Source organism: Homo sapiens, chromosome 18, assembly GCF_000001405.40.
Source record: "Homo sapiens chromosome 18, GRCh38.p14 Primary Assembly".
Lineage (NCBI taxonomy): Eukaryota > Metazoa > Chordata > Mammalia > Primates > Hominidae > Homo > Homo sapiens.
The window spans coordinates 3,340,368-3,354,205 of record NC_000018.10 but is presented as its reverse complement, the minus strand read 5'-3'; the positions used below and the strand labels follow the sequence as shown (position 1 = coordinate 3,354,205).

Below are 13,838 nucleotides of genomic sequence, written 5' to 3'. Positions count from 1 at the left end.
GCCACACCGGCCTGCATGGGAAGCTAAGAAATAAAACCTAACAACTGAAGTTCTATTATTAAACTGGAAGGGAAAAGAAACATCGGGAGGTAATTATCAATCCTTGCCACAACAACGTGGGGGCAAATTAGTCTCTACATGTGTACTGTCCAATATGGCCACCACCAACCACATGTGGCTACTGGGCCCTTGAAAAGTGGCTGCTCTGCTGATAGGATCATTCCACAATGTGTGCATGTCTTGAAACATCACATTGTATCCTGTAAATATACAGTTATCATTTGTCCGTTAAAAATACAAGAAGACTTTTTTTAAAAAAGAAATGCTGCTGGTCCAAATTGGGATGTGTTATAAGTATAAAATACACACAGGATTTCAAAGTCTTAGCATGACAAAAAGAATGCAAAATATCTCTCAGCTTTTATATTGATTACATATTGAAGTGATACTATCATTGAAATAATACCCAAATATACTGGTTTAAATAAATGTTATTAAAATAATTTCATCTGTTCCTTTTCACTTTTTAAAATGTAGCTTCCCCGGGCGCAGCGGCTCATGCTTATAATCCCAGCACTTTGGGAGGCCAAGGCAGGTGCATCACTTGAGGTCAGGAGTTCATGACCAGCCGGGCCAACATGGTGAAACCCTATCTGTGCTAATAATACAAAAAGTAGCCGGGCCTGGTGGCAGGCGCCTGTAATCCTGGCTACTCAGGAGGCTGAGGCAGGAGAATCGCTTGAACCTGGGAGGTGGAGGTTGCAGTGAGCAGAGAGCGCACCACTGCACTCCAGCCTGGGTGACAGACTGAGATTTCATCTCAAAACAATAAAATAAATAAAATAAAATAAAATGCAGCTACTATAAAACTTCACATTATACATGTGCTGCACATTGTATCTCTATTAAGCAGTGCTGCTCTAGAACAACCCATACGGTCTTCTGAAAGACTCCAGGCTTGGAAAGTGGGACAGAGATGGGAAATTTAGCAGAGAACAAAGAAAGAGAAACAAAAGAGTTTCAGAGAGGAAGGGAGGGAGAGAAGGAGAAAGGAAAGAAGAAGGAAGAAAGGAGAAAGGGAGGGAGGGAGGGAGGGGAGGCACTAACGATGATTAAGTCATGGATGAGTTCTAGACTGCAAGGTTGACTTCCCCAAAGGAGTGGAAGGAAGAATTTGAGGAGATCCAGGGGTGCAGAAAAGATGTTGAAAGATGGCTTCATTGAATGAACCAAAAGGAAAACTGCATTTTTTATTTTCCAGGCCTGGACGTAAAGGTCTGAACCCTGGGGACTGCACATAGAAAATCCAGAACCAGGGCCCCAGCACTCTGGGGCATTTCTGGGAGCTGTCTCAGTAACTCTATATACCTGTCAGTTGTCTACCACCCTGACTCCCCTCAAACTCAGGCAGTGGCCGCAGAAGACTCTGGCAGCAGGCAGAGCAGGGAGCCCTGTACAGTAGTCCTGGTGCCTCGTCACAGATCCCAAAGTGCCTTTACTGGAAGGCTAGGACTATTGCAGTTGTTGCAGGGTCCCTGGGGACTGTCGAACATAAGCCTGGCCCCACAAGAAAACTGGGCCACGCACTGAAGAATGCAAAGAACACTCTTCTGTCTCCCAGAGCTCCAGAGGGAAGAATCCAGTTCACTTTTGCTTCCAAATGAATTTTTTTAAAATCCCAAACCAGATGTTAAGCACAGGTAGAGTTGAAAAAGAAAATGAAAGATTTGGCAATCATCCGGTGAATTTCAGCTGGATAGAGAGTTACCCTAGATCTGCTTTGGGAACTAATTGATCTTGGTGAGTTATTCACATTGATCCAAAAAAAAAAAAAAAAAAAACCAGAGAAAAAAATGCTCCCCCTTCATTTTGAGTGTTGATATATAGTGAGAGGAATCCAAAGGTCTCTTTATTCCTGAATAATATTTTCACCAACCATTACTCCCACTGTCATGACCATAAATGGAGCAAAACATATTGTTAAATACTTTGTGTTATTACAGGAAAGGGATGCTTTCGCCGCCCCCCGCTTTTTTTTTTTTAATTATAAAGACAGCGTCTTGCTCTGTCACCCAGGCTGAAGTGCAATGGCATGATCATAGCTCACTGCAACCTGGAACTCCTGGGCCCAAGTGATCCTCCCACCTCAGTCTCCCAAGCAGCTGGAACCACAGCCATGTGCCACCATGCTCAGCTAATTTTTTAAAAATTTTGCGGAAGGTGAGGTCTTGCTATATTGCCCAGGCTGCTCTCAAACTCCCGGCCTCAAGCTATTCTCCTGCCTTGGCCTCCCGAAGTATTGGAGTTACAGCCGTGAGCCACTACACCCAGCCCATTTTTATAATAATAAGAATTTTTATTATCATTAATGTTACTTTAAAGGCAATTCAGCTTTTCCAACTCGAAGTCTTTCTGTTGCAATTTAATAACTTTAAAAAGTGTTATTAAATATACTTTTCAAAGATTTGAACTTTTTGACAAAAATTTTCAATTTAGATCCACTGGAATTTGTATTGTACACTTCAATGCATTTGGTGTGGCCGCATTTAAATAGCCATTATGTTTTCTTTTACTGCTAGTATTAGAGAGTCAGGAGTTGCAGGCTTTCTACCAACGTCAGACACCTGCTGAGGGGTTTTGTTGACATTTAGAATGAAATAATTAAGGTACAAAACATAAATGTGGGTAACTGAGGAATTATTACCTGTACAATGAGCTGACAGTGGGTAGAGTGTGAAGCCTAGGGAACTCATGGTTACTGCCAGTCAGTAAGCAAGTAAACACAGTGACTGTGTGGAAGTTTCCCACCTGGGAAATGGCCCAAAGAGCAGTAATTCCAGAATCCTCTGAACCTGTTCAGACAGTTGGGGTGGAAGGTTTATGATGCTATCTGACTCGTCTCTCACTTGGAGTGTGAATATGCTTGTGTCATGACTCAGAGGGTTAATTTCCTTTTAAAAGGAGGCTTGTGGGCAAGGGCCAGAGGCAATTGCCTTTGAACAACTGCTCCTTTGGCACGTTTTGCTAATGAAGAAGAATGAATGCTGCTATTATTTAATAAAGATTTTTTTTTTTTTACTTAAGGTTCGGTCCTTTCCATTTTATGGTTTTAGTTTTTATTTTTCTTTTCTTGAGACAGTCTCAGTCCCTTCGCCCAAGCTGGAGTGCAGTAGTGCCATCCTGGCTCACTGCAACCTCTGCATCCTCGGCTAAAGCGATCCTCCCACCTCAGCTTCCGGAGTAGCTAGGACAACAGGCACCAACATGCGGGGCTAATTTTTTTATTTTTGGCAGAGACAGGGTTTTACCATGTTGCCCCGGCTGGTCTCCATCTCCGGGGCTCAAGTGAGCCACCCCTTCTGCCTCCCAAAGTCCTGGGACTCCAGGTGTGAGCCACCATGCCCAGCCACATTTTGTGGTTGTTATTTGGCAATAAAGCTGGAGGTACTTTGTCTCCTAGCTGAAACTAGCTAAGTGGTGATACTAACTCTGTTCTCTGAGTCAGGAAATTCCTGCAGCCTACAAAAGCCTGCTGAGGAATTGTCAAGTCAAAGAGTTCTAGAATGCCAAGAGACCTTCAGTCCAGCTGGTCTTCAGTCCAGCTTGTTTCACACGTGACAGGAATCTGACCCTCAGAAAATAATCACATGCGCGGAGCTCACTAGTGGCAGAGCCCACGACACCCGCTCCTCTCCAGCTCTCTCTTTAGGGACAGAGAGGTATCATTCTTATTTTTAATGAAAACAGGTGCATATATTGTGGATAGAATTGTTAAAATATCTAATTGTATTAGTTAGATATGCACTTTTAAATATTAAGCAATATTTTGGTTTCAACCCGCAACCCGCAAGCCACACAAAAATACAGAAATCCTCCACCTCAGGCCCTCTTCCCTGGTTCCTCCGCCGTTACCAATACGTGAGCCATGGCCAGGATTTGAGCTGAAGTGTGCGGGAAGGAAGGAAGCTGTGTGGCAGCCGGTGGAGCTGATTATAGGGTTGGACGTCGCAGAACTAGAACCCGTTTCTCTTCATTCCCAGCCCAGTCATCTTTACACAACTTTTTCTTTCTTCCTTCATTTTTCTTTTTAGAAACAGGGTCTTGGCCGGTCGCAGTGGCTCACGCCTATAATTCTAGCATTTTGGGAGGCCGAGGAGGGTGGATCACCTGAGATCAGGAGTTGGAGACCAGCCTGGCCAACATGATGAAACCACATCTCTACTAAAAATATAAAAATTAGGCCCGGCGCGGTGGCTCACGCCTGTAATCCCAGCACTTTAGGAGGCTGAGGCGGGCGGATCAGGTCAGGAGATCGAGACCATCCCGGCTAACACGGTGAAACCCCGTCTCTACTAAAAATACAAAAAATCAGCTGGGCATGGTGGTACTCGCCTGTAGCCTCAGCTACTCAGGAGCCTGGGCAACATAGCAAAACCATGATTCTACAAAAAAAAAAAATTTAAAGCTAGCTGGGTGTGGTGGTGCGTGCCTATAGTGCAAGCTACTCAGGAGGCCGAGGCAGGAGAATCGCTTGAGCCCGGGAGGCGGAGCTTGCAGTGAGCCAAGATGGCGCCACTCCAGCCTGAGTGACGGAGCGAGACTCCGTCTCCAAAAACAAACAAACAAACAAAAAACAAAAATTAGCCGGGCGTGGTGGCGGGTGCCTGTAATTCCAGCTGCTCAGGAGGCTGAGGCAGGAGAATTGCTTGAACTGGGGGCGGAGGCAGAGGTTGCAGTGAGCCAAGATCGCACCACTGCACTCTAGCCTGGGCAACACAGTGAGACTCCATCTCAAAAAAAAAAAAAAAGAAACAGGGTCTTGCTCTGTTTGTTACCCAGGCTGGAGTACAGTGGCACACTCATGGCTCACTGCAGCCCCGAGCTCCTGGGGCTCAAGCGATCCTCCCGCCTCAGCGTCCTGAGTGTAAGCACACAACACCACACCCAGCTAGCGTTAAAATTTTTTTTTGTAGAATCATGGTTTTGCTATGTTGCCCAGGCTCGTCTCAAACTCCTGGGCTCAAGCGGTCCTCCTGTCTTGGCCTCACAAAGTGCTGGGACTACATGTGCACACCATCGCATCTTGCCTTCAACAACGTTTAGTTGTTCCTTTTACTAGGGACGAACAGCAGCAGTAATAACATCCCCCTCACACTACTGGTAGGTTGGTTTGATTTCTTTTTTCTCTTTTTTTTTATTTTTATTTTTTGAGATGGCACCTTGGTCTGTCACGCAGACTGGAGTGCAATGGCGCGATTTTGGCTCACTGCAACCCCCACCTCCCAGGTTCAAGTCATTCTCCTGCCTCAGCCTCCCGAGTACCTGGGACTACAGGCGTGCGCCACCACGCCTGCCTACTTTTTGCATTTTCAGTAGAGACAAGGTTTCGCCATGTTGGCCAGGCTGGTCCTGTACTCCTGACCTCCAGTGATCCGCCTGCTTTGGCTTCCCAAAGTGCTGGGATTACAGGCGTGAGCCACCGCGCCTGGCTGGTTGGTTTGATTTCTATCAGACATATTTTAATTCCCTACATGATTTAATGTGTAAATGTAGAATTTCATGTTCTTTTTAGTGAAAGAAGTTCAGGTCTTCAGGGTATAATGAGGTAGGAAGGCTTAGTCATCTAGGGAAACTATACCATGTACTTATTATCTTTTTAGTGTTGGGATTAGGGTTGCCAGATAAAATACAGGATGCCCCACTAAATTTGAATTGCTAAACAACAGGGACATACTTAGACACAAACATTATTCAGTGTTTATCTGAAATTCAAATTCCGCTGGGTGTCAGGCATTTCTGTTTGCCAACTCCAGCAGCCCCAGCTGGGAGGTGCCCTCTGAGCTCCTCTCCCTGGAAGTCCTCTTACCTGCTGTCAGCTGAGCAATTTGCCAGGCTTGCTTTGGGAGCTGGCTTGAAGTTATTTGGATTTGATGACTCTCTTTCTCTTCTGTACAGGAATCTACTTACCAAGATGGCAGGAGCAAGTGGTTATCAGAGCCTGCTCTCTAGAAATACAATTAAACAAGCAGCCCCTGTCTCTTTTTCTCCACTTTCAGTCTTGGGGAAGGGATTGGTAGGTTAAAGTCATTCTACCTCTTTATTTAATAATTCTGTTTTGCATACCCTTTACTGGATGATCATTCCTTAGAGAGGTTTGCAGTCAAAAGCCCCATTCTTTATTGTATTAAACATCACAGAGTCCCATGTTTTCCTTCAGGAATATGTGAGCAGGAGAGAAGGGTCATGTTGGAGCAGCCAGGACTCAGAGCCTTTCCGCAGACTGAGTCTGGATCCTTTCCTTCAGCCTCCAGGAATACTCCCGGCTCCACACCCAGAATGGTAATCCAGGCAAGGGCTCTGGTGTGTGGCCACACTGCCACCTATTACCTGCGGGTCCAAATGCAGTGACTCAACTTCTCTGTGCCTCTCTTTCCACATGTATAAAATGAGGATAATGTTGCTATTGTAAGAATTGCATCAATTAATAAACAGCACTCAGTGAATCTGTTAGCCCATCAGTGGATCGCGCCTTGCATGCTGGGCATGTTCCCTCTTCTCTCTAGACCTCAGTGACCTCAACTGTGAAGTGGCTATAGCTAATCCACTTGGTCTATAGGATTTGTAAAGGAACATGTTAATAACCCTCAAGTGACTGCAGAGAATGGGGGCATTCTTTTTGGGAAAACTATAGATTGTTTATCATCAGGGATGAATACTTAAAAGAAAATCTGGGAATTTTTTTGTAAGTCACAAAGAAGGATTTGGGAGGGGTTGCATGCTTTTGAATGGGATTGCCTCTCTGGGAACTGTAGGGAAATGGGTGACACAGAAGTACTAGGGGTTTTGGAGCTGTTCTGAGTGAACACACAGGTCCAGTGTGGCTACTTGGAGGCAGGGCCCCTGGAATTTATCCTGTTTTGCCTGCAAAGCTGATTACCCAGCTGCCTCTTCTTTTCTCACCTCCATGATATTATCACCAAGCAACTAACAACAATTAAATCTGAGGACTCAACAATCACGCACTAAGATAAAAGACCACTGTGCTGTTGTGTTTCAATAGGTATATAGAGAGAAGTGGGAAACTTCAGGATTAATGAAATGTAGATAATGTCGAGAAATGGCCAAAACACTGAAGCACTAAATTAGGAAAAGAGCCTTATGCAAATATTTGGTACTAATGCCTGCTTTATTTTTTTCCTTTTTTTAGTTTAATTTTTGTTTTTTGATACAGGCTAGAGTGCAGTGGCACAATCACGGCTCACTGCAGCCTCTACCTCCCAGGCTCAAGCTACCCTCCTGCCTCAGCCTCTCAAGTAGCTAATTTTTCTGTGTTTTGAAGAGGTGGGTTCTCACTATGTTGCCCAGGCTGGGCTCAACTCCTGGACTCAAGTGATCTTCCTGCCCTGGCCTCCCAAAGCACTGAGATTACAGACATGAACCACCGTGCCCGGCCAATGCCTGTTTTAAACAGCAGGAATAGTCACTTATCAGACCTTTAGAATGGCGTGGGCATCCAACTGGAGTGAAGTCTGAGTATGGATGGTTTTGAAAAGCTCCAGGCGTTAAGAGTGACTAACTTAATGTATTCGAAGTCCCATACTTTCATTACGTTTTAGTGAAGACAAATTGGAAGCTGGTCCAAGAAACTCACTCTATATTTTTTGCAGTGTGCCGCATGTTTATATAAACTGTGTGGTCAGCTGTACATCATGCTCATTCCGTGGTGTGCATTCGTTCCTGATTACCTCCTTTTGTTGTTTATTGGTTCTGATTTGAATTACCCTCCAGATACTGGATCTAGATAACTCTTGGGATCAGATGGCTTTCTCTAGCCATGAGAGTCAAGAGGATAGTTTCGAGAGTGGGAAGTGTACATAGCCCCTCCTGCATTGCACAAAGTTAGCCAAATTTATGTCTTTTCCATGTGCACCATATGAGGTGTAAGTTGGAAGGATGAGTAGGCTTGGAAATAGAGCTGCAGCATGTTGGAACCTGCTCATAAGCATGTTGGACATCACAGAGGCTGGAGCCCTGCAGAAGAGAATTGTTGTATTCAAATGTTATTGTGAAACCACAGGAAGAGAGCTGACCTGCCAGCAAGAAGCCTAGTTCTTCTATTACTGAGCATGTGACCTTGTTGGATTATTTTAAATCTTCAGAATCACAGTTATAACACCACCCATCCTAACTTCCTAAAGAACAAGTGAGCCTGCACACATGTGGAGACCATAAAACCCTATCCAAACGCAATGCATGATTAAATAAGCACATGCTTATGTGAGCATATTGTTTAGGTTTAGTTTGCCCTGGAGGTTGTATTTATTATATAGTCTCCAAGGGCAAGAAAGCATGTTCCACTATATGATATTCATGTGTGCTAACTATTAATTCTCTGAAAATGATTCTGTTGTTATTACCAAAGGACAAGGGCTATAAGAGAGTTTTATTAAACAAACTTGAAGTCTGTCATCTCTATAAAACATCCTTATTTGGGTAAGCAGAGAGGCTTCCACAGGTTTACAAATGATTTCACAATCAAGTCTAAAATTAGTGACAGCATCCAAAAAGATCTCTGGTGTCTTTCCAAACTGCTCCAAGCATTAGACTCTCCGAAAGGGAGTGTTTCATTAAATCATCACAGAGCTGGCCTATTCTCTGTCCAGTCTGGGGTCCGTTCTTTGTAGAATTATGACCTTGTCAGGGCATCCAGAGGTGAATAGTTTCTCAGATTCTGACTCACATTAATCAAATTCACAAGAGAGTGGTATATAAAATAGAATATCAATTGATTGATTAATTGCTATATACTATCAATTAATTGATAGAAGTATTAACAAGGCAGATACTCATGTTTGCTGATGAGCACATTCATTCCCTGAAGGCAAATCCATGAGGAAATCCTGTTAAAATACGAAGCCTTCCTGCAGAGCGTGAAATCAGAACGAATTTCCGATTCAGCTGGAACCTCCATTTCCAGCTCAGGTGATCCCATCACACCGACCAGTGGGGCCTCCCTCCTGCCTTGTGAGGTTGCTAAATGAGTTGAGTAGGTCAGGGTCAGAATTTTTAAAATAAATAAATAGAAGATTAAAATAACAGAAAGCATCATACCTAGCAAGAGTAGGATTTGTTTCATGAAACCCGTTTTAATTTAGATAGATAGATAGAGAGATAGATAGAGAGACTGATAGAAGTATTGGGTCCTATGTGAAAAAAAAATGTGTTTCTTACAGTGACTGCTTTCCAAAACAATGTGTGAACATCACTGCTATAGAGATGCTAACATCTTTTATTTTTAAATGAATATTTATTAGGTGCCTATTCTGTAATCTTGTGGAGATTATACTGTAGGAGAGAGATTATGAGAGAGATGAAAGACAGGCAATAAACAAATACCAATACCCTTTAGGTCCCCTACCTCTTTCTCTAGTCTGATGCCTCCAGTGGTACATTTGCTCTTCCTACAGATACAGCTTAGGATGGACTCATCAGTCCTCCTGTCCTAGGATCATGCTTGGCCTTTGAACTGGCCTGTGCCCTGGCAGGTGGTCTCTTAGGCTGGATCTGTGCACAGAAGGGGCTGCTTTCAGCCACCACCTGCCTAGTTTTCCTTTTCCTCTTTTTCTTTTCTTTTCTTTTTTTTTTTTTGATGGAGTCTCTCTCTTTAGCCCAGGCTAGAGTGCAGCAGTGTGATCTCGGCTCACTGCAACCTCCACCTTCCGGGTTCAAGCGATTCTCCTGCCTCAGCCTCCCGAGTAGCTGGGATTACAGGCACCAGCCACCAGGCCTGGCTAATTTTTGTATTATTAGCACAGACAGGGTTTCACCATGTTGGTCAGGCTGGTCTCAAACTCCTGACCTCATGTAATCCACCTGCCTCGGCCTCCCAAAGGGCTGGAATTACAGGTGTGAGCCACCGCACCCAGCCTCCTTTCCCTCTTTTAACTCTTCATTGTTTATATCACCCACCCACCTTCTTGAAATAGCTGTTGTTTTTTTTTTTTTACTCTGTCTAAAGATAATCAGGCAAAATAGCACATAAATGTACAGTTCAAGGGCCTGAATGAAGAAAACTACAGTATGCAAGAAGCTGGAAGAAATCCTGGAAATTCTCCTTTCAACTTTCTTATTTTTAGATGAAGAAACAGATTCAAGAAGGCTGTGACTTGCTCAAGGTCAAAGTCATCCAATAACAGATCTGACACTAAACCCTGGATCTGTAGACCCCATGTCCAGTGCTCCGTCATTCTGCCACACAGCCTATCGAAAATAAATCTGCTCAACCTGAGGAAGCAGATTACGAAAAAAAAAAAAAAAACATGAAAGAAATCTGACTTTAGAGAACACCAAGAATGCTTCCTTCTCAGGTTACTGAAGATGCATCATTATTCTGTGTTGTGGTTCTAGATCAAGAACAGGCATGGAAAAAACTGATTGAGATATTTTCATGATGAAAGATAGAAGGAGCACCACTGAGATAAAAAAAATTTAAGGCAACCTTATATTTATAGTCTTAATAAATCTCCAACCTAGGAACTGATTTTATTTATTAACTTTTTCATTCACTCAACCAACCAATACTTAACCAAGCCCTACTATGAACCAGGCAGTGTTCTAAGTGCCAGTGGTATATCAGTGTTTATTAGACAACCAGTCTCTGCTCTCAGGAAGTTTTATTATCATGGTTGGGGGAGGTGGGTGGGTATGGTAGACACAAAGATGCTCCACTCAGATCCCCCTTCAAGGAAGAACTTGTTGCCCAGCTGTGGGGCGTGGTCAGCAGCAGACTCCAGCTGTCAGTTCCTTCAGGGCCAGCCTCAGTTGCAGGCTGCTATTTTGCCCTAGGTCATGCCCTTCCCAAGGCAACCCTCACCCAGTGGTTACACAAAGCAAGAGTATAGAGGCCTGGCCATTTCTACCTAATACAGACAACTCTGATGGGCAACATTTTCTCTACGACTCCCTGCCAAACTGGCCAGTGTTTTGTCAAGCCAGTATCTCAATTCAACTTCTCCCTCTGCTCCATTCTGCTTCTCTCCTTTCACAGGCACTGAGCCTTAATAAACATCCTGCACCCCAAACTCTGTCTCAATATCTGCTTTCAAAGAACCCAACTTGCAACAGGGTGTGTGTGTGTGTGTGTGTGTGTGTGTGTGTGTGTGTGCGCGTGCATCTGTGTACGACTATTTTATATAAGGTGGTAAATGAAGACTTTTTAAAATAAAATGAGATTTGAGCATCTGAGCAGAGACCTGAAGAACATCAGGAAGTAAGTCTTATAGAGATGTGAGGAAAGAACATTCCAGGCAGAGGGGCGATCGAGTGCAAAGGCCCTGAGGCAGGGAGCATGTTTGGTAGGTGTGAGGAACCGCACAGGGCCATAGGGAGTTGGAGCAAAATGGAGAAAGGAGGTAGAAAATGAGATGCAAAGGGCATGTAGTGTGGAGTGGGGAATGACACCATCCTACCATGCAGGGCTTTGTAAGCTATGGTAAAGACCTGGTTTTTACTCGGAGATAAAAGGGCAGCTTCAGAGGGTTTTGAGCAGAGGATTGACATGATTCAACTTATACTTTAAGAGTTTTACTCTGGACAAAGGTGGAAGCAGGAAGGTCAGATGGGAGGCTATGGTGAGAATTCAGTATGAGAAGTAAAGGTGGCTTAGATCCAAGTAAAAGAGCAGGTGGTGAGAAGCCAGAGGCTGAATATGTGCTGAAGGTAGAACCAGTATGGATTGGAAGTGAGGCATGAGAGAAAGAGAGCATGGGTAACTTCAAAGGTTTTGGTCTCAAAAACTGAAAGGAAGGAGTTGCCATTTGCTGGATCAGGAGTTAAGTTTGGGACATGTTATGTTTGCAGATAGAATCTGTTATGTCCCTAATTAATATAACTTATTATCCAAAGGGGAAAACTTTTAAGAATAAAAGAGGATGTGGCGAATAATTTCAGTGGTGTAAACCAGGATTATTCATGGCAAAGCAGAGCATATGACCCTGGGGTAGCCCAGGACTCAGAAAAGGGCCCTGCAGCATATGTTGGGAGAACTGGACTTAAGCTGGCACTCTGTCATTGCTGTTAGTAGGTGTATGGCCTGAATGTATATGTCCACCCAGAATTCACATGGTGAAATCTAACCCCCATGGTGATGGTTTTAAGAGATGGGACCTTTGGGAGGTAATTAGGTCATAAGGGCTGTGCCCTCATGAATGGGATTAGTGCCCTTATAAAAGAGGCCTCAGGGAGCTTGTGAGCCCTTTTTTGCCCTTCTGCCATGTAAGGGTCCAGCAAGAGGCACCATCTATGAAGCAGAGAGCAGGCCTTCACCAGACACCAAATGTGCTGATGCTTTGCTCTTGGACTTCCCAGCCTCCAGAACTGTGAGAAATAAATTTCTACTATTTATAGGCCGGGTGTGGTGGCTCACACCTGTAATCTCAGCACTTTGGGAGGCCAGGGCAGGCGGATCACCTGAGGTCAGGAGTCCAAGACCAGCCTGGCCAACTTGGTGAAACCCTGTCTCTACTAAAAAAATACAAAAATTAGCTAGGCATGGTGGCAGGTGCCTTAATCTCAGCTACTTGGGAGGCAGAGGCAGGAGAATCATGTGAACCCGGCAAGCAGAGTTTGCAGTGAGCCGAGATCTAGCCATTGCACTCCAGCCTGGGGGACGAGAGCGAGACTTCTCTCAAAACAAACAAACAAACAAGAAAATTCTACTATTTATAAATTATCTGGTCTAAGGTATTTATTAATAGCTGCCCAGACAGTCTAAGAGGAAAATTTTTTTCTCTACTCACTTTGGTTCAATGGTCAGAGGCCTGAGAATTAAGTAACAATGGACAGATTAACAAAAGAAAGGACAAGGTTTATTTACATGTACATGTGAAATATTCAATAATGGGCAACTCCCTGAATACTCAGAGGTAAAGGTTTTTGGTTTTTTGTTTTTTGCTTTTATTTTAAGTTCAGGGGTACAAGTGCAGGTTTGATACATAGGTAAACGTGTGTCATGAGGGTTTGTTGAACAGATTATTTCATCACCCAGCCATTAAGCCCAGTACCTATTAGTTATTTTTTCTGATCCTCTCCCTCCTCACAACCTCCACCCTCCAATAGGGCCCAGTGTGTGTTGTTCCCCTCTGTGTGTCCATGTGTTCCCATCCTTTAGCTCCCACTTATAAGTGAGAACATGCAGTATTTGTTCCTGTGTTAGTTTGCTTAGGATAATGGTTTACAGGCTCCACCCACTTCCCTGCAAAGGACATGATCTCATTCTTTTTTATGGCTGCAGAGTTAAAGGTTTATATACCAACTTAACAGAGAGGGGGAGTGGGGTTTGGACTCCATGGGAAAGTAGGGAAGTTTCTATTGGGCCTTGTGATGATAAGGGACAGCTAAATCCTCACTCGCTGATCCTAGGATGAGTCTTCTCACAATCGGGAAACTCCCTCAGAGGGGGTCATAGAAGCTGTAATTCAGGAGGCTCTGCCTAAGTTTAGATAATGTTTCTTTCTGTGGCTGCTGATTGTGAAGATGTTTTGAGTTTAAAGTAATTTTCACACCATTTTGGTGGGCTGTTAATTCCTTCCTTTCCCCCATTTAATACTTCCCCAGATGTTTCACAAACAAGGAAGTGGGTTTATTGAAGACACTGGTCAGGCCTTGTGAGGTAAGGATCTGCAAAGGGAAGGAACATACATCAGAACAAATATCAATCAGCACCAAAGACCTAACGTAGGCACACTACACCGTATTTTGTCGAACCAATCTCCTAGTCTTGGGCATGAGGGGTATTTTTATGGAAACATAAAGAAAAACAAAGATTAACGGTGAGAGCA

General features: G+C 43.9%; 1 long non-coding RNA gene across 1 annotated transcript, besides 1 other annotated feature; it reads left to right on the top strand.

The window, feature by feature from the left end:
* The first annotated feature begins 3,646 nt into the window (after positions 1-3,646).
* Positions 3,647-6,503, top strand: LINC01895 (long intergenic non-protein coding RNA 1895). The gene is made up of 3 exons (NR_146506.1): positions 3,647-3,719; positions 5,956-6,073; positions 6,218-6,503. It is a non-coding gene; the product is annotated as a long intergenic non-protein coding RNA 1895 (long non-coding RNA).
* Positions 13,215-13,509: a transcriptional cis regulatory region, noted in NCBI's record as "candidate enhancer chr18.117 targeted for multiplex CRISPR interference". NCBI's record gives its function as "positively regulates TGIF1 gene expression with high confidence in K562 cells {active_cell/tissue: K562}" and the evidence as "EXISTENCE:mutant phenotype evidence [ECO:0000015][PMID:30612741]".